Below are 24,721 nucleotides of genomic sequence, written 5' to 3'. Positions count from 1 at the left end.
AGATTCCTTGGTTGAATGCTGGTTCTATTTTAAGTTATTTGCGAAATCTCTAAACTGCTTTCCACTATGGCTGAACTCATTAACATTCCCCTCAACAGTGTATAAGCGTTCTCTTTCTCTGCAGTCTTGCCAATATCAGTATTTTTTAACTTTTCAATAACAGCCATTCTGACTAGTGTGAGCTGGTATCCCTTTGAGGTTTTATTTTGCATTTCTCTAATGATCAGTAATGTGGAGCATTTTTTCATGTTTCTTGGCCTCTTGTATGTCTTTTTTTGAGAAGTATCTGTTCATGCCCTGGCACGCATTTTAAAGGGCTCATTTCTTTTTTGCTTACTTATTTGTTTAAGTCCCTTGTAGAGGAAAATCACTTTGACCACGAGATCACCACCAACCAGCCTTTCCTTACTGCTACAAATACGGACCTCGCCATCTCCAGTACATGGTGCTGGCTCATGGCCAGTACCCAAACCCTTGACTTGCTGCTTCCCTGACCTCATGCTTTGCTGATTACACCAAAAATGACCTCATTAGAGTGGAATTTTGCTGAGATCACCATTTGCTTTCAGAATAAGCCCATTACTTTATGGTGCAAGGAACCCATAGAGCCTCAGTGAGATTGTAAAGCTGCCCTACAAGCTACGGAAAACTATAGACTTGGGAGAACTATGTGTAAGAATACCACGCCCGAATCTCACCAGCTCTCCAGTGATAACGCTCATGCAGTGCTGTGGAAATGCCTGTGGACTGGAGTGTGCTCTGTGTGCAGGAAGCAGGTCCAGGTTTCACTTCCGCAGGACATGGGACATTTCCAGAACCCGGAGATCTTCCTCTCGCTCATATACACCCCTTCATATTTAGTCCCTATAACCTCATCATTGCGACCCTACAGGCACCTACTAATGCCCTGGAAGCTAAAACTGTCACCAGAGCCTCAGTTTCCCCGAAGAGCCCAAATTTCTTCTTATGCTGGGGTGAGACTGGTGCTCACTTCCTCCAAAGCTGAAGTTCCTGGGCCTGCCACACATCAGGAATTCACTGCTTCCTCAGAGGGACAGGAGACCCCACTGCTCTGCCACAGCGACCGCCTCTAGCAAAGCTTGAGATGCCTCCTCTACCTTAAGGTTGAGGGAGATGCTTTAGTTATCACTCCACTGCCCCCAGGCCTCCACCGGCCGATGCCTGCTGCCTTCACACAGAGCTGCAGGGGGGGCCCTGAGCACCCAGCCTGTGGGACCAGCGCTGTGCACGACATTCCCATGGTGGCAGGGGCTGCCCGGCGTGCACACTGGGTTCAGCAACCTCACCACAGGTATTTATTGCCTCTCGAGCGACTGCATTCTTTTCTCATCTCCAGAAACCTTACCCCATCTACCTGACTAGGAGAAGGAGGAGGACGGTGGATAGTGGTACATTTTAAAATGTGCTCTAGTCTTCTTAGGAATTCTCCTCAAATAACACAGGAGGAACCACAGGAGTTTGATCCTGCATATTTCAAGCGACCACTGATCATCCCACTCATGCTATGTGCATGGAGACTCTTAAGCCTGCCCAGAATGGGCTTAAGAGCAAGGCATTGGAGCACAGAGCACCAGGTGATGCAAGCTAACACCAAACTCACTGCCACCTTGGCCGCCTCCCTGAGAGACTTTCAAGAGACATTAGGTCTCCAGCAGGAAACTCAGGAGTTCTTGGCCCCAGTGGTCCTAGACACTCGTTTGGCCTTAAACTGTCCATTGCCCAAGCAATGAGGCAATTGTCCACTCCAGGGAACCACATACTGTGTGCACATCCTTAACGAACCCAGCAAAACCTGCCCTGCCTGCTAACACAAGCCCACGTGGGATTCAGTCTCAACCAGGTGGTCTGCAACATCCCAGCCCACCAATCGGCTTTGGTGTCTTGTTATGGTTAGAGCTCAGGTACTGGGCAGGCTGGTTCAGGGGAAGATTCCTCATCCTCTCCTGTGCATGGGTGTCAAACTTGAACTTGTCTCTCTAACAGAGTGTGTCCTGTGATATGCAGGCCAGGCTCTCCTGGGGGCTTTAAATATTCCCTTGCTGCAACTAGCTCAGCATCAGCCACCAGCACAGGCATCTCGGGGTCCATTGTGTTAGGAGTCATGGAGAATCCATCGTTGGTTGCTGCCTGGGCCTGGGCAAGGTTGACAAAGGCAGATGAGGGGACCCTCCATGGACTCCTGTCCGAACCCCAACTTCCCATCAAATTTCTCAACTGTCCTTCCCACCAGAGTTATTTAATAAACCCAATGGAAAGTAACCCAGGTTATTAGGACACCTGATCCCAAATGACTCTTAAATAGGGAAGTCCTCTCCTGTTTGTGCACGGCTGCTCTTGCTACAGGAGACCCGGGACAGAGGACTGCTGTCTGCCCTCCCTCTTCACTCTGCCTACCTTGAGGATCTGTAAGTAACCCAAGACTTAAAACTTTCACATTGAGGTTTCAACATTGAACCTGTGCCCCCAGTCTGACCTCTGACTCCTGGGCCACCCCAGAGGGACCTTGTGGGTGAATCTCTTGCTGCGCATTTCTCTCTGAACCTCTGGTGGCTGCTGGGAGCTTTAGCTACCGGCTCAATTAATAGAGAACCTCAAGGAATTTCCTTCTAAATCTACGTGTCCTACTTGACACGTCCAATACAGACAACAATAGCTCCTTAGAACATCCTTTTATTTGGAGAGAAGCCTATCCTGCTCCTTGGCCTGTTTTTCAAACAGGTTACTTGTTATTTGCTTTTGAGTTGTTTGACTTCCTTATGTATTTAGATATTTGCCCCTTCTACCACCTAGGGTTTGCAATTATTGTCTTTCATTTTCTGGGTTGCTTTTTCACTCAGTTGATTATTTGTTTGTTGGTTTGTTTTTTGACGTGCAGATGCTTTAGAGGTCAGTGCAGCCCCATTTGTCTATTTTCCCGTTTATTGCCTGTGTCTTTGGTGTCATAGCAAAGATATCGTTATCGACACCAATGACAAAGCGTTATCTTCATATGTTCCTCTCGTCATTTTATGGTTTCAGGTCTATGTTTGGGTCTTCGATCATTTTGAGTTGATTTGTGTATATAGTATATGATAAAAAACCACATGTACATGAACATCAAATCCTAAGGTGGTATACAGGAGATATATACCGTTTTAAATTCTTATTCATATCTCAATAGAGCCAGAAACACATTTTTGGCTGTAGACGAACTTTTTGCCTTAATATCACTGTGTTCATGTCACCTATCGCCTGATAGGGTCATTGTCCTCTTCACACTGGCCCCTACAGGAGGCTACTCACCCCATGCCTTCATGAGAGTGGTCACGCCCTTGATGCCTGCAACAAATGACTCTTCACTTGATAGGAATTCACGCCTGCTGCCAGAGTGTAGACCTGTACAGAGTAGTGGGGCCATCTGCAGGAAAAGAGGCATTTGTATCCTGAGCTTATCGAACAAAAGCACTGCTGTTATCCTTTGGTAGAATAGTAAAAAGTCAATATATAATGAAGTGAGAAACAAGAAAAACATGCCAGGATCCTCGTCGTCACCATCCTCTCCAACCCAGCACAAACACTACACGTAGAGATTCAAACTAGAGTGAAAGCTGGGAGAGCAAAGGAAGAAAACAGGGACATTGAGACCAACGGGATCCCACACAGTCTCCAACGAAATGCACACCTCCTTTCTCTGAGAGGGTTCCAGGTTTCTTGTCTCCGAGCCTTCTCTCTGCAGACCTATATATCCAGGCTAACTCCTCTCTCCCGACTCGTCTGCTCCTGCTCTCCCTCCTCCAGGTCACCCCAGCCATGAGGACCTTTGCCCTCCTCACTGCCATGCTTCTCCTGGTGGCCCTGTAGGCTCAGGCAGAGCCACTTCAGGCAAGAGCTGATGAAGCTGCAGCCCAGGAGCAGCCTGGAGCAGATGATCAGGAAATGGCTCATGCCTTTACATGGCATGAAAGTGCCGCTCTTCCGCTTTCAGGTGAGACAGGCCGGCATGCAGAACTGCAGGGTCTAGTGGGATGGATGGGAGACAGAGTGTGGAATCGAGTCTCAATGGTCCATGTCACTTCGGGGGCTTCATTTAGCATCTCTGGGCCTTGGTTTTCTCATCTATAAATTGAATAGAGAGCCAAATAAATCTTTCTGTCTTTAAAGACTTGAGGCTGCTCTGCCTGGAGAGTAACCATTCTTTTATTCCTTTACTTCCTTAACAATCCTTTCACTTTAGAAAATCTATAAAATTGAAAAATAAAACTTGACGTCAAGATATGTCTGTGAAATTCAGTAGGTTTTAGATATGAAGAGACAGTCTGACTCGTTCTTTCTGGATTCACACAAGTAGACTTCATTACAAGGAGAATATTTTACTGTATCTGTAGAATAGTTTTTAAAAAGTAGAGCCAAGCCCAAGAGTGTGTTCAGCTGTGTGTGTGACGGGGCAGAAGCACAAAAATGAGCTCAAATGAGAATGAGTCTCAAATCCTGTGTGACCAGCACTGCTCTGTGTATTTATTCCTATTGACTGAGGCTGTTCATGCTGCTGGCCCCAATGCAGCCAACATCACTCATTACCTAGCACATGACTTATCCAAGATTCCCTTTACCATCACTGCTGACCTTCTGATCCATTTATGATGATTTCCCTGTGTCCTCAGACTCAGCGAGAGGCTTGAGGTGCATTTGCGGAAGAGGAATTTGCCGTTTGTTATAACGTCGCTTTGGGTCCTGCGCCTTTCGTGGTACACTCCACCGGATCTGCTGCCGCTGAGCTTGCAGAATCAAGAAACATAAGCTCAGAATTTACTTTGAGAGTTAAAAGAAATTCTTGTTACTCCTGTACCTTGTCCTCCATTTCCTTTTCTCATCCAAAATAAATACCTTGTTGCAAGATTTCTCTCTTTACATCTCTTTCACATTTGATGTGTCTTTGTGTCTCAAGACACTTGGGATGCACTTACCAGAATCCTAAGTTTTTAAACAAAATAAAATTTGAAATTCTAGGAATTTCAAGCAGGCGTTTGAGCTTCAGACTCAAATGGAAATGAAGGCCCAAATCATACCACCCATCTCCCCATCCACTGCTCTGTCTTTTCACTCTGCCTCATTTTCTCTGGATCCACTCTCAAAGAGCTCCCGTGTGCTGGGCAAATAATCAGTGTCAGCTTAAAGTTCACGCAGTCACAAAATCATTCCTCCTCAGGAGAAACCAGCATCATCTGTCCCAAAGAACTGGGGTTTTATTGAACGTGTCCAGGTCACACATTTGCCTTTTAAACCATTGGGTTACAGGAGATTCACTGAAACAACTTCAAGAGGGAAATGGGTTGTTAGCAAAGGCGGGATGCATGGAACAGAAAGCACAGCGGCCCACACTGGGATGTCCACATTAAAAGCACCCTCCAGCCAGGTCTACTAAGACCTGGATTTCACACCCATAAAGTTGTCTTCACACCCAGAAAACACACAAGCACAAATGCTCCACTACACTTTGCAAGACGCACTCTCCTCTGTTGCCTTAAAGCCGCTGAGAATCTGATTCTGCCTGGAAAATACAGCTTCAGAGGGGATAAGGGATGAGGCCGGGAAAGCACTTCACCAGGAAAAGGGTAGCCTTCTTGTTGCTGCAGGGTGCTGAGGCAGCTCAGGGGTCCAGGCACCCCACTGAGACACTGCATGGATGGGAAGCCCATGCAGATCCCAAGGAGGACAGAGTGGGTGCCAACCTCCAGTGCATTTCCCCTAGCTCACCCAGGGTTTCACCTTTCCTGCCTTTGTCTTCAGGGAAGTTGAGGCCAACGGCTCTCCCTATTGCAACGTTCTGACTCCTATTTCACCAGTCTTCAATAAGCGCTTCCTTCACATTTCTGCGACGTCTTGGTGAATTTTTTCTTGTACAATAAATGAAATAGTTTTCTTTGGCTATTTCTTTTCTGATTTTCTAAACTCGGCTTACAAGCAAAACCAGAAGGAAAGGGATCTGAAAAGTACTCATTCCATTTTATGAGTATCTGAAATTTTTCCTTTTTCACTAAGAAACAAACAACTCATGAAGAACCTAAGGGAAAGAGCCCACTCTCACATTTCCTCTCAGTCACCCTCCCAACCTCTCTGTGCTGGATCCTCCTGGCTGACAGCGACCCCCACTTTTGTTCCAGCCCTCCACCCCATGCTCCTGCCACCACCTGGAATTCCTGCATCTCTGAATATCAAGTATGAAGGTCCCTGTTGCTGACTCACCCGCTGTACTTCCAGCCTCTCCGGTAGCCATCCCTCCTTCCCTGCTGATCAGCATCGATAAGGCTGTTCTCCCACAGAAACGTGCCTGGGAATCACCCGGGAGTCTGTTCCCCAGGCTGCACCAGGAACACCTGTCATCTACCCTCGTTTCCTGTTCTTATGAACTGTACTGTCTTTAACTCAGATTCTCTGAGCTAGGTAATATTTTTATATAATTTTCAGGCATATTAGCTGAGTTTTGCATTCAAATTTAAGAAACCACAACAAACTGAGTGAACAATTTGACTGCCACACCTGATACTTATGAAAGAATTCTGGCTTCATAAAATCCCTGATTGAAGGACCCAAAGCATAAGAGTCCTTCTTGTCTTTACCTTTTATCACCCCCATTTTTCTCTTGATAACTTGGGCTCGCTCCCCAAGTGACAGCCACATGAATTGTGGTTATCTCCCCACAGCCTCCGTTGTTGATATCCGGGAGAAAACCCCTATTGATTTCTCCATTGTTTCAGTCAACTCCCGAGTCCCATGCCCTCCTCTGAGTCTGTCCCTCAGTGGAGAGATTGAGACTCCACCTGGATCCACTACCCCTCCTCCACACAGGAAAAATTCAAACTAAGAATGGATGAGACAGGGTTCCTCAGTCACTCCATAGAGTCCACAGTTTCATCCCCCACCATGATGGGCTCTTTGTGACGCTTTGGGAAGAAGTTGAGAAAATTCCCTCCTATTTTATCAATATTTCAGAGAAGTTGAGATTTACACACACAAAATATGTACAAATCCAATTCCTCAGCAATACTGTGAAAATGCCCTCTGTTCATCTAGGGCTGTGTGAAAAGACACCACAAAACTTAGGGAATTAAAACAGCACGATCAGGTCGTCATTCACACATTTGCAATTGGGACATAGCCCCCTCCATGGGCAACAGAGGACAGGTTCTGCTGGGAGCTGAAAACCTCAGGGCCAAGACGCTTGCGCACAGGTAGCGGGGAGTGCTGGGCTGGCTCAGTGGGAGCTCTGACAGGCTGAGGGATGAGATACTGTGATGCACTGAGGCCAGGTCATGCCAGCTCATGAGAGAAAAGATAGGTGTGACACTTTTTATCCCACTCATAGCTAGGAGGATTTGAACCAGAGAGATTTACAAACACTGCATATCAGAGTTTTGTTTTTCCTAGAAAGCTGGTTGCTCTGGGTTCTCTAGCTCTTCCTTGCAGGTGGGTTCAGTTCCTTTTTTTGCAATGCTTAGACTTCCTCCAAGCATTGTAGCTGGGCTTCAAAGGCACCAGCACTCTTAGTATATGTGGGATGCTGGGGGAAAGAAAATCATACACCAAGTGACTTATAAACAACAAAAATACATTTCTCAGTGTTCTGGAGGCTGAGATGTCCAAATCAAGGTGCCAACAGATTTGGTGTGTGGTGAGGACCAGCTTTTTGGTTCATAGATGCTACCTTCTCACTGCTTCCTCACCTGAGGGAATGAATGAAGGAGCTCTCTGGGGCTTCTTCCTCAGGGGCACTAATGCAACTCATGAGGACTCCATCCTCCTGAACATATCACTTCCCAGAAAGCCCCACCTTTTCATGCTGTCACCAGAGGAGGGATTTCAACATATGAATTTCAGAGGGACAAAAACATTCAGGCTGCAGCACCATCCAATACTCAGGAAGTGAAAGATACCAACTTCTTATGACCTTAGCCCAACAAACAGCACGGTGCTAAGTCAGGTGTGTTCAACTGGTCAAGATGTCGCCCAATCTAGATTCAACAGGAGCCATTTTCACCTCCATTTTTATGTGAAAAGAGTCAGGGATTTAGGGCCATATTTTAAAACAGCTCAAGGAAGCTATTTCCTTATGGTTTATTGTAAAATAAACCTGCTGCAATCCTCAACACCAGACACACAGACAGCTTGTGAGAGGCGGCTGGGAAAGGCAGACAAAGGGCAGGGACTTGGAGCTCCTACCTGTCCCAGCTGGATCTGCAGGCCCGGGAGTGACTGTGTGGCACAGGCAGCACCAGGACCCTCCCTGCAGGACAGTGGACAAAGGGCTGAGGGGAGGGACAGCGCGATGCACTCTGAGGAGCTGGGAGGTGGAGGGTCCTCCTCAGAGCTCACCTCTGCGTAGCCCCCGCTGCGCCCCATGGTAACACGCATGCTGTGTTCCATGACTACCCTTTCCTACCGGGTCAAAACCATAACCCCAGGGCCCCGCCCAAGGTCCACACACACTGTGTCTGCTGGGGCCACCAGACACCATAAACATGTGTGAGAATATGTGTGCTGCTCCTGGAAGCTTCTCTCCTCTCACACCTACAACCCCACCCACAGCTTCTCCAGAATGTTTACCCCAGCCTAATGATGTCAAGGTTTTTATTGAGTCTAGACTCGCTTCAATATTCCCTAAAATTCAAATGCGTGTGTCTGAAAAAAACAGCTTCAGCTGCATCTACATATAGTGTCCACAGTGTGGACACTGATTGTCTACACTGGCTGCAATCAGTGGAAAACATCAGGCTGGGGTTGGGGACTATGGATCAACATGGAAGTGAAAGTACTGTAAAAAATCTGTAGACATAACACCTTTTTTGTTTAAACCACAAAATTCTGCCAAGGTTCTGGTGCAGCCAAAAGAGAAAAGTGAAAAGGACCACAGGGAAGAATCTCTCTGTTCTAATTTGAGTTTGGAGTTTGAGAATCACCTGCCGAAGGATGGCGACAATGCCTAGGTGTGACCTCAGTACAGACTGAGACCCTGCTGGGGCTCTGGGCTGCTGAGTCCTGACCGCAGTCTATGGAGGAGGCAAAGATGGGAGCATGGCCATGAGGGAGACACAGAGCAACGTCCCAGCAGATGGTTCCCAGTCCTGCAGCCAAGAATGGCAGGGAAGGAGAGCACAAGACTGGGTTGGGGCAGAGAAGGCCACCCCTCCAGGGACAGGAGCCACCAGTGACTCTGAGCCAGCTGGAGGGTCTCTGTTCTCCCTCAGCTCCCCAAATCGCTCTGGGTGCTGCATGTAAAGCCACCGCCTGGGCCAGGACATATGGGCAGAGCTGCTGCACCCGCTCTCCCTCTTCCTGGACAGTGGCCACGTTTCTGGAGGACACACTCATGGCCCCTCCAGCACTGTTGTAAAGATTCTGGGCATCAATTTGTCATCAGTGGGCTGACAAAGTCCCCTTGCAGTTAAAAACCAAATCCTCACCACTAGTGTCCTAGCCACTTTGCAGCTGGCCCTCCATGTACTGGGACATCGTGTCTTTGGAGACAGCTATACCCCACTTGTCCATTCTGCTGAGGCCCACAAATGCCATCACCCAGAAGCCCTTCACATCCACTGGGGCCACAGCAGGATACAGTCTGTTGCTGGTCCAGCAGGTGATCTCTCTAGTCCATGCCCGGGTCCCGGGTTCTGAGTTTCATGGGGAGGCCCTCACTACCACCCATCATAAGTCTCAGAGCCTCTGGACAAAGCACACCTGTCCTAACTATGAGCTTCTGCACATGTAGTCTTCCAGGGACCGTAGCTCCTTATGCCCTGCGTGGAGCAGGTGTTCTCTTTACGTGGCATTTCTTCACTATCTCCTTTAGAACCACACCTATCATTGATTCAGATGGAGGCTCCCACCTCAGGACATCACAACACGAGGGTGGGTTAAGGGAGTCTCATTTAGTCCATCGTCCCCAAGCCACCAGCCTCCTCAAGCAGCACGGTGGCCTCCTAAAGTCATGGTTATTAATGTCTCTGGATGTGCTATGGACACCCAAGGCACCAAGGTCCTTCCAAGGGCCGTCACTTTTTTAACTCTCAATCCCATGGCCACCACTGCCTCATCACAATTGGGCTAGACGCACTTTGGTGCCTATCTTGGTGATCACAGAAGAGTTAGCTTCTTTTTTCCCTTACAGATAACATCATTTACATGTTCTCCAATAATGAGACCTCCCCATATCATCACAGGACATCCACCATCTCAACATCAAACATATACTGAACAATGGACTGTGGATGGATAGTAAACTACGATCTTCTGAGGATAACCCCCCAGGCCCACTGGCACCCAGCAGGACCACGAGGCTTTTGTTAGACCACACCTCTCCATTTCACATGCAGCTTCTGGCAAAAGCTCCCTTTTTTACCGGTTTTAAAGGTTAGCTAATATTTCCCACTTACTTCTCCTGGCAGGAAGTAGGGATTATTGCTCCAGAACCCACCGAGGGTGCAGTCAGAGGCAGTAACGAGGAGAAGAAGCCTTCAAACTAGAGACACCAACTACGTCAGGCAAAGACCATATGGAAGTGCCATCACCAAACGTGGCCATGGGGGAGAAAGGCTCCAAGGAAAAGTGGGTGCCAGCCAACCCCATCATCAGTGTCAATATAGAAGCACTGGGAAGAAAGCCCTGAGTGACAAGATGTCAGTGTTCTCTATGATTGGCCTTGCTTGGTATCTTATGTACAAATGGCTTGTGGGGTAGCTGTTTAACCCAGGCCTGGCAGCCTAGAGGGCTGCTGGAACAGGACAGCCCTAGTCAGAATTTGTACCCCAGACTGGAAAACTGGGGAATTCCCTGTAAGCCCTGTTACAGGGGCTGCACCCCAGATACAACCTGACCTGTGTCCAAGGCGGGCAACTCAACCCTTAGATATTGAATGGGTCCCATGGCACCAATGCTTAAACACCAGCAGCCCTCACAACCACAGATCGTGTTTTAAGGATGAGGAGGTAGTTCTCTGGATGCACAGGCTTCAATCCAAATGGGCTCATGACGCCGCAGCACACACCCAGACTGCAGCCTGAAGAGTTGGAGCATTGCATTCACAGAAAGCATCCAGACATGATCATGGGCTCAGGGATACACCTGTTCTCCGATGTGTACCAGTGAAGGATGGAAACTCCTATGCCTCCCAGAAAGCACCACTCAAGCTTTTGCTGAATGCTTCTCTGAAGGCCCACAAGGCCTGAGAGGCTGTGCAACACCAGCAGTAAAGTGAATGCCCAGACTCCCACCTCCTTTCTTGGGTGGCCATCTGGAAAGGCCACTCCCACCCTGATGGCTAATGCCTCAGACCAGTTCTTGGCCCAGATGATCCTAGACAATTGTTTAAGCTTAAACTGTTCATTGGCCAAGCAAACAGGTGATAGTCACCTCTGGGGAACCACATGCCGCGTGTACATCCAGTACTCAGGAGAACCCAAAAATGTCTGTTCCACATAGCAACAGAAGCCCAGGTAGCACTCATTCTCACCTGGGTGTTCTCCAACATCCCAGCTCAGCCAAATGGCTTTCATTGCTTTTTATGGTTAGACCCCAGGTCCTCGGGACACTGCTTTAGAAACACATTCCAAATCCTCCTCTGTGTGTAGGTGGCATTCCTATCCCAATCTCTTTGCAGGGTGTATACTATGATACGCAGCCAGGCTGTCCCAGAGGCTTTAAATATTCCCTTGGTGCAGGTAGTTCAGCTTAGCCACAGCCAATGCATCACAGGGTCAACTGTGTTAGGAGCCATTGAGAATCCATAGTTGGTTGCTGCCTGGGCCTGGCCAGGGCTGACCAAGGTAGATGAGAGGTTCCTCTGTGGAGTTCTACTTTAACCTCACCTTCCCACCAAATTTCTCAACTGTCCTTGCCACCACAATTATTTAATGGACCCAACAGAAAGTAACCCCGGAAATTAGGACACCTCATCCCAAAAGACCTTTAAATAGGGGAAGTCCACTTGTGCACGGCTGCTCCTTGCTATAGAAGACCTGGGACAGAGGACTGCTGTCTGCCCTCTCTGGTCACCCTGCCTAGCTAGAGGATCTGTAAGTACTACAAAACTTAAACTTTACACTGAGTTTTCATTATTGAAGCTATGCCTCCAATCTGACCTCTGACTGTGGGGCCACCCCAGAGGGAACCAGCGGGCGAATCCCTGCTAGGAACGTCTGTCCGGACCTCTGGTGACTGCTGGGGACGATGGCTTCCAGCTAACTTAATAGAGAAACTCAAGCAGTTTCCTTCTAAACACACATGTCCTGGTTGACATGTCCAGTAGAGACTATCACAGGTCTTTGGAACATTCTTTTGAGAGAAACCTATTTAGGTCCTTGGTCTGTTTTTCAATCAGGTTGTTTGATTTTTGCTATTGAGTTGTTGGAATTCCTTATGTATTCAGATATTTGCCCCTTCGGCCATGTAGGTTTTGCAAATATTTTCTCTCATTTTCTGGGTTATCTTTTCACTCGGTTGATTGTTTCCTTTGCTGTGCAGATGCTTTAGCGTTAAATGAAGCCACACTTGTCTATTTTCCCTTTTATTGCCTGTGCCTTTGGTGTCATAGCCAAGAAATCATTACCTACATCAATGTCAAAAGCTTTATCCTTCTATACACTTCTAGTAGTTTATGGTTTCAGTTGTTACATTTAGGTTTTCAATTCATTCTGAGTTGATGTTTCTACATGGTGTGAGATAAAGATTTAAATACATACATATATAAAATCATGAGGTAGTGTACACTATAAATATACAATTGTTAATTGTTACTCAAGTCTAAGTAGAGGTGGAAATAATAAACTTTCTTTTTTTTACTTAAACCACTCTGTGTCACTGAGCTGATTTCACCTTTAGCCTGATAAAATCATTGTCCTCTCCACCCTGATTCCTACAGGAGACTACTCACCCCATAACCTCAAAAACCTCTTCATGAGGATGGTAAGTCACCTGAATCCTGAAGTGAATTACTCGCTATTCCATTGGAACTCATATAGGACACCAGAATCTAGACCTCCAGAGAACAGCAGGACCCATCTTCAGAAAATAAGAAGCATTTGTTCCCTGAGCCTGTTGAATCAAAGTGCAATTTCTATTCTTTTTGGAATGTTAAAAAGTGAATCATAATATTTAAGCAGGTGAACCCACGAGTAACATAGCAGGGTCTTTCTTGTCATTATTAGCTCCAACCTAGCACAGACATTAAAGGTACAGATGTATACTAGCATGAAACTGGGAGAACAGGAGCATTCGAGCAACCTTGAGACCAATGGGCCTCTCTTATAAAATGCACACCTCCTCTCACTGAGATTGAGGAAGGTTTCTTGTCTCCGAGCCTTCTCCCAGTAGAGCTATAAATCCAGGCTGGCTCCTCCCTCCCCACACAGCTGCTCCTGCTCTCCCTCCTCCAGGTGACCCCAGCCATGAGGACCCTCGCCATCCTTGCTGCCATTCTCCTGGTGGCCCTGCAGGCCCAGGCTGAGCCACTCCAGGCAAGAGCTGATGAGGTTGCTGCAGCCCCGGAGCAGATTGCAGCGGACATCCCAGAAGTGGTTGTTTCCCTTGCATGGGACGAAAGCTTGGCTCCAAAGCATCCAGGTGAGAGAGGCAGGCATGCAGAGCTGCTAAGTCTAGAGGGAAGGACGGGAGAGAGGTTCCAGAGTTGGGTCTCAGCAGTCTATGTCACTGAGGTGGCTTCACTTAGAATCTCTGGGCATTGATTTTCTCATCTAGAAATTGAACAGAGAGCCAAATAAACATGAGAAACTTTATTTCTCCAAAGACTTGATTCCAAGAAACGTCTGTGAAATTCACTAAGTTTCAGATATGAAGAGACAGACTAGTTATTTCTGGATCTAAACAAGTAGACTTAGTTGTAAAGAGAACATTTTACTCTATCTACAGAAGAGCTTTTAAAAACTGCAGCCAAGCCTGAGGATATGTTCAGGTGTGTGTGTGATGGGGCAGGAATGCAAAAATGAGAGCAAAGGAGAATGAGTCTCAAATTCTGAGTGACAAGCACTGCTCTGCGTGTTTATTCCTATCGACTGAGGTTGTTCGTGCTAACGGCTGCAATGCAGCCAGCATCACCTGTCAGCTAGCATGTGACTTCCCCGAGATTCTTTTTCTTACCCACTGCTAACTCCATACTCAATTTCTCATGCTCTCCCTGTCCCAGGCTCAAGGAAAAACATGGCCTGCTATTGCAGAATACCAGCGTGCATTGCAGGAGAACGTCGCTATGGAACCTGCATCTACCAGGGAAGACTCTGGGCATTCTGCTGCTGAGCTTGCAGAAAAAGAAAAATGAGCTCAAAATTTGCTTTGAGAGCTACAGGGAATTGCTATTACTCCTGTACCTTCTGCTCAATTTCCTTTCCTCATCCCAAATAAATGCCTTGTTACAAGATTTCTGTGTTTCCACCTCTTTAATGTGTGATATGTGTCTGTGTCAAGACACTTGGGATACACGTACCAAAACGCAAAATCAAATTTTTGAACAATATAAAATTCCAAATTCTAGGAATTTCAAGCAGGAGTTTGGGCTTCAGATCCAAATTGAAAAGAAGGCCCATATGACACCACTGATTTCCCCACCCACTGCTCTGCCTTTTCACCCTGCCTCATTTTCTCTGGATCCACTCTCAAAGAGCTCGCGTGTGCTGGGCAAACAATCGGTGTCAGCTTACATTTCATGCAGTCACAAAATCATTACTTCTCCGGGAAAAAAAAACCATCCTCTGTGCTAAAGAATTGGAGTTTCATTGAACAATGTCAGATTGTACATTTTCCTTTTAAGACATAGGGTTACATGAGATCCACGGAAAAAACTTTCATTCAGAGGGAAATGGGTTGTTAGCAAAGGCGGGATACATGGAACAGAAAGCACAGCATCTCACATTGGCACGTCCTCATTAAGAGGACCCTCCAGCCACGTCTACTAAGACCTGGATTTCACAATCATAAAGTTGTCTTCACACCCAGAAAACACACACACACAAATGCTCCACCGCACTTTGCAACGCGCACCCTCTTGTGTTACCCTAAAGCTGCTGAGAACCTGATTCTGCCTGGAAAATACAGCTTCAGAGGGGATAAGGGACAAGGGAGGGAAAGCATTTCACCAGGAACATGGTAGCGTTCTTGTTGCTGCAGGGGGCTGAGGCAGCCCAGGGGCCCAGGTACCCACTGAGACACTGCATGGATATGGAAGCCCACCAAGAACCCTGGGAGGACAGAGTGGGTAATGATCCCAGACTTCTTCTTGTTTAGGTGATGAAGGACACAAATAGGGAATCACGGTGTGAAGCCCAGGAGCCTTCTTTGGCTTCCTGTGACTGCCACGGACTTGGAATCATGTGGTCCCCGAATTAACTTTCCATAGTATTCTGAACTATGAAATGGATCAAGATGGCTGCATCTTGGGGCATCTGCCAGAGGTCCACCTGACTTTCTCCCAAGCATCTGAGGTCTCAGCTAAAACTTCACTTGGTCACTGAGGTCTTTTCTGATCTCTCAACCTTAAATTGCAACAAGATCCCCCTGCTGACCTCCATTCTCCGATTTTCCTCATTGCTAACTATAGAATTGCAACCGTCTCACTCCCTGTACACTTCACTTACTAAACGTAACATTTGCCTCCTTACTCCAGAAGGGAAGCTGCATGTTTTGCTTATTGTTGTACCAGAGTGCATGGATGACTGTAACATAAAGTAGGGGGTTACTAAATTAATTCTGATTACATTAACTAATTGCATCTAATAGCACATAACAATATAAAATTATTTATTAATTGTTATTCCTAAATTCCATAGGAAAAAACTAAATTCAACAGAGGTAGAGCAGTCCATTTTCTAGACCCTATGACAGCACACCTTTAAAAAACAAAATAAATAAAAGTATTCAAGGCTGAAACATGAAAAAACATCATGGGTACTATTTGGCATCATGAAGCTTTAGGACCTTAGAAGAAGCAGGCCATTCCGGCTAAAGCAGGCAAAAAGATTCCATGTGAATCTTCAAGTACAACATCAATATGTTTAAAACATGGAATGACTAAAAGCAGAGGTAGAATGAAATGTTTGGTGGACAGAATGCTATCAGGGCAAGAGCTATGCAGGATGAGGGTGGACCTCCACTGAATTCAGAGGAATGGATGTTGCCAGAGAGAAGGACGGAGTAGAATTCATGCTGATGTGCTGAGAGGCATCCATCAACTCAAGGGAAAGGGGCAGATGAGGACGGAGCCTCCCTGCTCCTCTGTGTGGATAAAGGCACACTGGGAGCACCACATGTGGCTTCTGCTACTGCAGTCTAGGGTGGGCGATGACTGCTGCAAACTCTAGGGACGGAGAATTCAGGGAGAGGTGTGAGGGTCTCCAAACAACCAGGGCAACTTGCTTAGCCTCAAATGAGGCACAACACTGTTTACTGGGATGCACATACACTCTAGGATTAGTGATGACATGCAAGAACTTTTCTACCGGAAATGAGCCATTCATGCGGCAGGACAAGGAAATAAGGAATAAGTTAGATGCCTCATCCCTTTAAATGTAACTACTCAAGGGGACAGCAGCCCTGTCTCTGTAGGCAGGCAGGAGCCTAACTCCAATAAGCACAAACTAGCAAACGCAGATGGCCCAATCACACTGCAAGACTCCCACTACCAACCTCCAGTGCATTTCCGCTAGCTCACCCAGGCCTTAACCTTCCCGCTTTGGCTTCAGGAAAGTTGAGGCCAACGGCTCTCCCTGTTGCAACGTTCTGACTCCCATTTCAACAGTCTTCAATAAGTGCTTCCTTCACATTTTTAAAAGGTCTTGGTTAATTTTTACTTGTACAAAAAATGAAATAGGTTTCTTTTGCTGTTACTGTTCTGATTTTCTAAACTCGGCTTATAAGCAAAACCAGAAGGAAAGAGATCTGAAAAGAACTCATTCCATTTTAGGAATATCTGTATTTTTTCCGTGTTCACGAAAAAAACAAATAACTCATGAAGAAACTAAGGGAAAGAGCTCACTCTAACATTTCCTAGAAGTCAACCTCCCAACATCTCAATTCTGTGTCCTCCTGGATAACAGGGACTGCCACCTCGTTCCAGCCTTCCACCCCATGGCTACTCCCTAACTCCTGCACCACCTGGAATTCCTCCATCTCTGAACATCACTTATGAAATTCCTGTCCCTGACACACCCATTGTCCTCCAGCCTCTCACATAGCCGTCCCTCCTTCTCTGCTGATCAGCATCAATAAGGCTGTTCTCCCCCAGGGCTGTGCATGGGAATCATCCAGGAGTCTCTTCTCCAGGCTGCACCCAGGACACCTGCCATCCGCTCTCATTTCCTATTCTTATGCACTGCACCATTTTGCCTCAGCTTCTCTTATCTGGGTAATTTTTGTTGTATCTTTTTCAGGCATATTAGCGGAGTTGTGCACTCAAATTTAAGAAACCACAACAAGCTGAATTAACATTTTGAATGCCCCACCTGAACAGTGGGTCACACCTGTAATCCAAACACTTCGGGAAGCCAAGGAGGGTGGATCATGAGGTCAGGAGTTCAAGACCAGACAGCGCAACACGGTGAAAACTGTCTCTACTACTAAAAATAGAAAAATTAGCCGGGTGTGGTGGTGGGTGCCTGTAATCTCAGCTACTCAGGAGGCTGAGGCAGGAGAATCGCTTCAACCTGGGAGGTGGAGGTTGCAGTGAGCCAAGATCGCACCACTGCACTCCAGCGTGGGTGACAGATCTACACTCTGCCTCAAAAAAAAAAAAAAAAAAAGAAAAGAAAAAAAAGAAAGAAAGAAAGAAAAGAAAAGAAAGACTTCTGGCTTCATAAAATGCCTGATCCAAGGACTCTAGGCATGAGTTACCTTGTTGTCTTTACCATTTTGTTTCCCGCTTTTTTCTCTTGATCTTAACTTGGGGTCTCTCCCCAGATGACAGCCGTGTGAATAATGGTCATCTTCCCTGGGACTTCATAGCTGATCTCCGGGAGAAAACCCCTACTTCTCTCTCCGTTGTTTCAGCCAGCTCTGGAGTTCCACACCCTCCTCTGAGTCTGTCACTGAGGGGAGAGGTTGAGACTCCACCTGGATCCCACACTACCCCAGCTCCCCACAGGAAAAATTCAAACTAAGAATGGGTGAGACGGGGTTCCTCAGTCTCTCCAAAGAGTCCACAATTCCATGCCCCCACCACAATGGGCTCTTTGTGACACTTTGGGATTCAATTGAGAAAGTTCTCTCCTATTTCATCAATATTTTAGAGAAGCTGAGATTTACACACACAAAGTACAAGTCCAATTTGTCACCAATACTGTGAAAATTGCCCTCTGTTCATCTAGGGCTCTATGAAAAGACACCACAAGACTTAATGGATTAAAACAACATGATCAGGTCTTCATTCACACTTTTGCAATTGGGAGGTGGCTCTCTCCACAGGCATCAGAGGAGAAGTGCTGCTGGGATCTGAAAACCTCAGGCCCAAGACACTTGTGAACAGGTGGCAGGGGGTGCTGGCTCAGCTGCAGCTCTGACAGGGCTCAGGGATGAGACCCTGTGAGGCACTGACGTCAGATCATGCTGGTTCATGAAGGAGGAGATTGGTGTGACACTTTGTATCCCACTCATAGCTAGCAGGATTTGCAACACTTAGACTTCCTCCAAGCATGGTATCCGGGCTTCAAAGACACAAGCAATCTGAGTGTATGTGGAGTGCTGGAAAAAAATACCATACACCAAGTGACTTAGAAACAACAGAAATATATGTCTTGGTGTTCTCGAGGCTGAGAAGTCCAAAACAAGGTGCCAACACACTTGGTGTCTGGTGAGGACCAGTTTTGTGATTCATAGACGGCACCTTCTCACTGAATCCCACTCGCTGCAGATGACATAATTTCATTCTCTTTTATGAATGTAGTATCCCATCATGTATATGTACCACATTTTCTTCATCCAGTCCAACACTGATGGCCATCTAGGTTGACTCCATGTCTTTGTTAGCATGAATGATGCTGCCATGAACATACGAGTACATGTGTCTTTTTGGCAGAATAATTTGTTTTCCTTTGGATATATACCCAGTAGTGAGATTCCTTGGTTGAATGCTGGTTCTATTTTAAGTTATTTGCGAAATCTCTAAACTGCTTTCCACTATGGCTGAACTCATTAACATTCCCCTCAACAGTGTATAAGCGTTCTCTTTCTCTGCAGTCTTGCCAATATCAGTATTTTTTAACTTTTCAATAACAGCCATTCTGACTAGTGTGAGCTGGTATCCCTTTGAGGTTTTATTTTGCATTTCTCTAATGATCAGTAATGTGGAGCATTTTTTCATGTTTCTTGGCCTCTTGTATGTCTTTTTTTGAGAAGTATCTGTTCATGCCCTGGCACGCATTTTAAAGGGCTCATTTCTTTTTTGCTTACTTATTTGTTTAAGTCCCTTGTAGAGGAAAATCACTTTGACCACGAGATCACCACCAACCAGCCTTTCCTTACTGCTACAAATACGGACCTCGCCATCTCCAGTACATGGTGCTGGCTCATGGCCAGTACCCAAACCCTTGACTTGCTGCTTCCCTGACCTCATGCTTTGCTGATTACACCAAAAATGACCTCATTAGAGTGGAATTTTGCTGAGATCACCATTTGCTTTCAGAATAAGCCCATTACTTTATGGTGCAAGGAACCCATAGAGCCTCAGTGAGATTGTAAAGCTGCCCTACAAGCTACGGAAAACTATAGACTTGGGAGAACTATGTGTAAGAATACCACGCCCGAATCTCACCAGCTCTCCAGTGATAACGCTCATGCAGTGCTGTGGAAATGCCTGTGGACTGGAGTGTGCTCTGTGTGCAGGAAGCAGGTCCAGGTTTCACTTCCGCAGGACATGGGACATTTCCAGAACCCGGAGATCTTCCTCTCGCTCATATACACCCCTTCATATTTAGTCCCTATAACCTCATCATTGCGACCCTACAGGCACCTACTAATGCCCTGGAAGCTAAAACTGTCACCAGAGCCTCAGTTTCCCCGAAGAGCCCAAATTTCTTCTTATGCTGGGGTGAGACTGGTGCTCACTTCCTCCAAAGCTGAAGTTCCTGGGCCTGCCACACATCAGGAATTCACTGCTTCCTCAGAGGGACAGGAGACCCCACTGCTCTGCCACAGCGACCGCCTCTAGCAAAGCTTGAGATGCCTCTTCTACCTTAAGGTTGAGGGAGATGCTTTAGTTATCACTCCACTGCCCCCAGGCCTCCACCGGCCGATGCCTGCTGCCTTCACACAGAGCTGCAGGGGGGGCCCTGAGCACCCAGCCTGTGGGACCAGCGCTGTGCACGACATTCCCATGGTGGCAGGGGCTGCCCGGCGTGCACACTGGGTTCAGCAACCTCACCACAGGTATTTATTGCCTCTCGAGCGACTGCATTCTTTTCTCATCTCCAGAAACCTTACCCCATCTACCTGACTAGGAGAAGGAGGAGGACGGTGGATAGTGGTACATTTTAAAATGTGCTCTAGTCTTCTTAGGAATTCTCCTCAAATAACACAGGAGGAACCACAGGAGTTTGATCCTGCATATTTCAAGCGACCACTGATCATCCCACTCATGCTATGTGCATGGAGACTCTTAAGCCTGCCCAGAATGGGCTTAAGAGCAAGGCATTGGAGCACAGAGCACCAGGTGATGCAAGCTAACACCAAACTCACTGCCACCTTGGCCGCCTCCCTGAGAGACTTTCAAGAGACATTAGGTCTCCAGCAGGAAACTCAGGAGTTCTTGGCCCCAGTGGTCCTAGACACTCGTTTGGCCTTAAACTGTCCATTGCCCAAGCAATGAGGCAATTGTCCACTCCAGGGAACCACATACTATGTGCACATCCTTAACGAACCCAGCAAAACCTGCCCTGCCTGCTAACACAAGCCCACGTGGGATTCAGTCTCAACCAGGTGGTCTGCAACATCCCAGCCCACCAATCGGCTTTGGTGTCTTGTTATGGTTAGAGCTCAGGTACTGGGCAGGCTGGTTCAGGGGAAGATTCCTCATCCTCTCCTGTGCATGGGTGTCAAACTTGAACTTGTCTCTCTAACAGAGTGTGTCCTGTGATATGCAGGCCAGGCTCTCCTGGGGGCTTTAAATATTCCCTTGCTGCAACTAGCTCAGCATCAGCCACCAGCACAGGCATCTCGGGGTCCATTGTGTTAGGAGTCATGGAGAATCCATCGTTGGTTGCTGCCTGGGCCTGGGCAAGGTTGACAAAGGCAGATGAGGGGACCCTCCATGGACTCCTGTCCGAACCCCAGCTTCCCATCAAATTTCTCAACTGTCCTTCCCACCAGAGTTATTTAATAAACCCAATGGAAAGTAACCCAGGTTATTAGGACACCTGATCCCAAATGACTCTTAAATAGGGAAGTCCTCTCCTGTTTGTGCACGGCTGCTCTTGCTACAGGAGACCCGGGACAGAGGACTGCTGTCTGCCCTCCCTCTTCACTCTGCCTACCTTGAGGATCTGTAAGTAACCCAAGACTTAAAACTTTCACATTGAGGTTTCAACATTGAACCTGTGCCCCCAGTCTGACCTCTGACTCCTGGGCCACCCCAGAGGGACCTTGTGGGTGAATCTCTTGCTGCGCATTTCTCTCTGAACCTCTGGTGGCTGCTGGGAGCTTTAGCTACCGGCTCAATTAATAGAGAACCTCAAGGAATTTCCTTCTAAATCTACGTGTCCTACTTGACACGTCCAATACAGACAACAATAGCTCCTTAGAACATCCTTTTATTTGGAGAGAAGCCTATCCTGCTCCTTGGCCTGTTTTTCAAACAGGTTACTTGTTATTTGCTTTTGAGTTGTTTGACTTCCTTATGTATTTAGATATTTGCCCCTTCTACCACCTAGGGTTTGCAATTATTGTCTTTCATTTTCTGGGTTGCTTTTTCACTCAGTTGATTATTTGTTTGTTGGTTTGTTTTTTGACGTGCAGATGCTTTAGAGGTCAGTGCAGCCCCATTTGTCTATTTTCCCGTTTATTGCCTGTGTCTTTGGTGTCATAGCAAAGATATCGTTATCGACACCAATGACAAAGCGTTATCTTCATATGTTCCTCTCGTCATTTTATGGTTTCAGGTCTATGTTTGGGTCTTCGATCATTTTGAGTTGATTTGTGTATATAGTATATGATAAAAAACCACATGTACATGAACATCAAATCCTAAGGTGGTATACAGGAGATATATACCGTTTTAAATTCTTATTCATATCTCAATAGAGCCAGAAACACATTTTTGGCTGTAGACGAACTTTTTGCCTTAATATCACTGTGTTCATGTCACCTATCGCCTGATAGGGTCATTGTCCTCTTCACACTGGCCCCTACAGGAGGCTACTCACCCCATGCCTTCATGAGAGTGGTCACGCCCTTGATGCCTGCAACAAATGACTCTTCACTTGATAGGAATTCACGCCTGCTGCCAGAGTGTAGACCTGTACAGAGTAGTGGGGCCATCTGCAGGAAAAGAGGCATTTGTATCCTGAGCTTATCGAACAAAAGCACTGCTGTTATCCTTTGGTAGAATAGTAAAAAGTCAATATATAATGAAGTGAGAAACAAGAAAAACATGCCAGGATCCTCGTCGTCACCATCCTCTCCAACCCAGCACAAACACTACACGTAGAGATTCAAACTAGAGTGAAAGCTGGGAGAGCAAAGGAAGAAAACAGGGACATTGAGACCAACGGGATCCCACACAGTCTCCAACGAAATGCACACCTCCTTTCTCTGAGAGGGTTCCAGGTTTCTTGTCTCCGAGCCTTCTCTCTGCAGACCTATATATCCAGGCTAACTCCTCTCTCCCGACTCGTCTGCTCCTGCTCTCCCTCCTCCAGGTCACCCCAGCCATGAGGACCTTTGCCCTCCTCACTGCCATGCTTCTCCTGGTGGCCCTGTAGGCTCAGGCAGAGCCACTTCAGGCAAGAGCTGATGAAGCTGCAGCCCAGGAGCAGCCTGGAGCAGATGATCAGGAAATGGCTCATGCCTTTACATGGCATGAAAGTGCCGCTCTTCCGCTTTCAGGTGAGACAGGCCGGCATGCAGAACTGCAGGGTCTAGTGGGATGGATGGGAGACAGAGTGTGGAATCGAGTCTCAATGGTCCATGTCACTTCGGGGGCTTCATTTAGCATCTCTGGGCCTTGGTTTTCTCATCTATAAATTGAATAGAGAGCCAAATAAATCTTTCTGTCTTTAAAGACTTGAGGCTGCTCTGCCTGGAGAGTAACCATTCTTTTATTCCTTTACTTCCTTAACAATCCTTTCACTTTAGAAAATCTATAAAATTGAAAAATAAAACTTGACGTCAAGATATGTCTGTGAAATTCAGTAGGTTTTAGATATGAAGAGACAGTCTGACTCGTTCTTTCTGGATTCACACAAGTAGACTTCATTACAAGGAGAATATTTTACTGTATCTGTAGAATAGTTTTTAAAAAGTAGAGCCAAGCCCAAGAGTGTGTTCAGCTGTGTGTGTGACGGGGCAGAAGCACAAAAATGAGCTCAAATGAGAATGAGTCTCAAATCCTGTGTGACCAGCACTGCTCTGTGTATTTATTCCTATTGACTGAGGCTGTTCATGCTGCTGGCCCCAATGCAGCCAACATCACTCATTACCTAGCACATGACTTATCCAAGATTCCCTTTACCATCACTGCTGACCTTCTGATCCATTTATGATGATTTCCCTGTGTCCTCAGACTCAGCGAGAGGCTTGAGGTGCATTTGCGGAAGAGGAATTTGCCGTTTGTTATAACGTCGCTTTGGGTCCTGCGCCTTTCGTGGTACACTCCACCGGATCTGCTGCCGCTGAGCTTGCAGAATCAAGAAACATAAGCTCAGAATTTACTTTGAGAGTTAAAAGAAATTCTTGTTACTCCTGTACCTTGTCCTCCATTTCCTTTTCTCATCCAAAATAAATACCTTGTTGCAAGATTTCTCTCTTTACATCTCTTTCACATTTGATGTGTCTTTGTGTCTCAAGACACTTGGGATGCACTTACCAGAATCCTAAGTTTTTAAACAAAATAAAATTTGAAATTCTAGGAATTTCAAGCAGGCGTTTGAGCTTCAGACTCAAATGGAAATGAAGGCCCAAATCATACCACCCATCTCCCCATCCACTGCTCTGTCTTTTCACTCTGCCTCATTTTCTCTGGATCCACTCTCAAAGAGCTCCCGTGTGCTGGGCAAATAATCAGTGTCAGCTTAAAGTTCACGCAGTCACAAAATCATTCCTCCTCAGGAGAAACCAGCATCATCTGTCCCAAAGAACTGGGGTTTTATTGAACGTGTCCAGGTCACACATTTGCCTTTTAAACCATTGGGTTACAGGAGATTCACTGAAACAACTTCAAGAGGGAAATGGGTTGTTAGCAAAGGCGGGATGCATGGAACAGAAAGCACAGCGGCCCACACTGGGATGTCCACATTAAAAGCACCCTCCAGCCAGGTCTACTAAGACCTGGATTTCACACCCATAAAGTTGTCTTCACACCCAGAAAACACACAAGCACAAATGCTCCACTACACTTTGCAAGACGCACTCTCCTCTGTTGCCTTAAAGCCGCTGAGAATCTGATTCTGCCTGGAAAATACAGCTTCAGAGGGGATAAGGGATGAGGCCGGGAAAGCACTTCACCAGGAAAAGGGTAGCC

General features: G+C 46.7%; 1 protein-coding gene, 1 long non-coding RNA gene and 2 pseudogenes across 6 annotated transcripts; 3 read left to right on the top strand and 1 right to left on the bottom strand.

Moving 5' to 3' along the window:
* The first annotated feature begins 2,363 nt into the window (after positions 1-2,363).
* DEFT1P2 (defensin theta 1, pseudogene 2) lies at positions 2,364-4,907 on the top strand (annotated as a pseudogene). The gene is made up of 3 exons (NR_036687.1): positions 2,364-2,426; positions 3,799-3,985; positions 4,662-4,907. The product of NR_036687.1 is annotated as a defensin theta 1, pseudogene 2 (transcript).
* Positions 4,908-11,989: 7,082 nt separating this feature from the next.
* DEFA1B (defensin alpha 1B) lies at positions 11,990-14,422 on the top strand. Of its 2 annotated transcripts, NM_001302265.2 has the most exons (4): positions 11,990-12,065; positions 12,911-12,954; positions 13,425-13,611; positions 14,192-14,422. In NM_001302265.2, exons 2-4 carry the CDS (start codon positions 12,946-12,948, stop codon positions 14,299-14,301), a joined length of 306 nt encoding a protein of 101 aa, NP_001289194.1. In that variant the 5' UTR covers positions 11,990-12,065; positions 12,911-12,945; the 3' UTR covers positions 14,302-14,422. The 2 variants fall into 2 exon arrangements, with proteins under 2 accessions (NP_001289194.1, NP_001035965.1); NM_001042500.2 differs by lacking the exon at positions 12,911-12,954.
* LOC124901874 (uncharacterized) lies at positions 13,525-18,111 on the bottom strand. Of its 2 annotated transcripts, none has more exons than XR_007060789.1 (2): positions 17,887-18,111; positions 13,525-13,742 (listed from the first exon to the last, which is right to left on the bottom strand). It is a non-coding gene; the product is annotated as an uncharacterized LOC124901874 (long non-coding RNA). The 2 variants fall into 2 exon arrangements; XR_007060788.1 differs by lacking the exon at positions 17,887-18,111 and adding an exon at positions 16,684-16,755.
* A 3,355-nt stretch (positions 18,112-21,466) lies between these two features.
* Positions 21,467-24,010, top strand: DEFT1P (defensin theta 1, pseudogene; annotated as a pseudogene). The gene is made up of 3 exons (NR_036686.1): positions 21,467-21,529; positions 22,902-23,088; positions 23,765-24,010. The product of NR_036686.1 is annotated as a defensin theta 1, pseudogene (transcript).
* Positions 24,011-24,721: the final 711 nt, after the last annotated feature.

The sequence above is a fragment of the Homo sapiens genome, chromosome 8 (genome assembly GCF_000001405.40).
Source record: "Homo sapiens chromosome 8, GRCh38.p14 Primary Assembly".
In the NCBI taxonomy this organism is placed as follows: Eukaryota; Metazoa; Chordata; class Mammalia; order Primates; family Hominidae; genus Homo; species Homo sapiens.
Note: the sequence above shows the minus strand (reverse complement) of the source record. Positions and strands in the feature narration are given on the sequence as shown.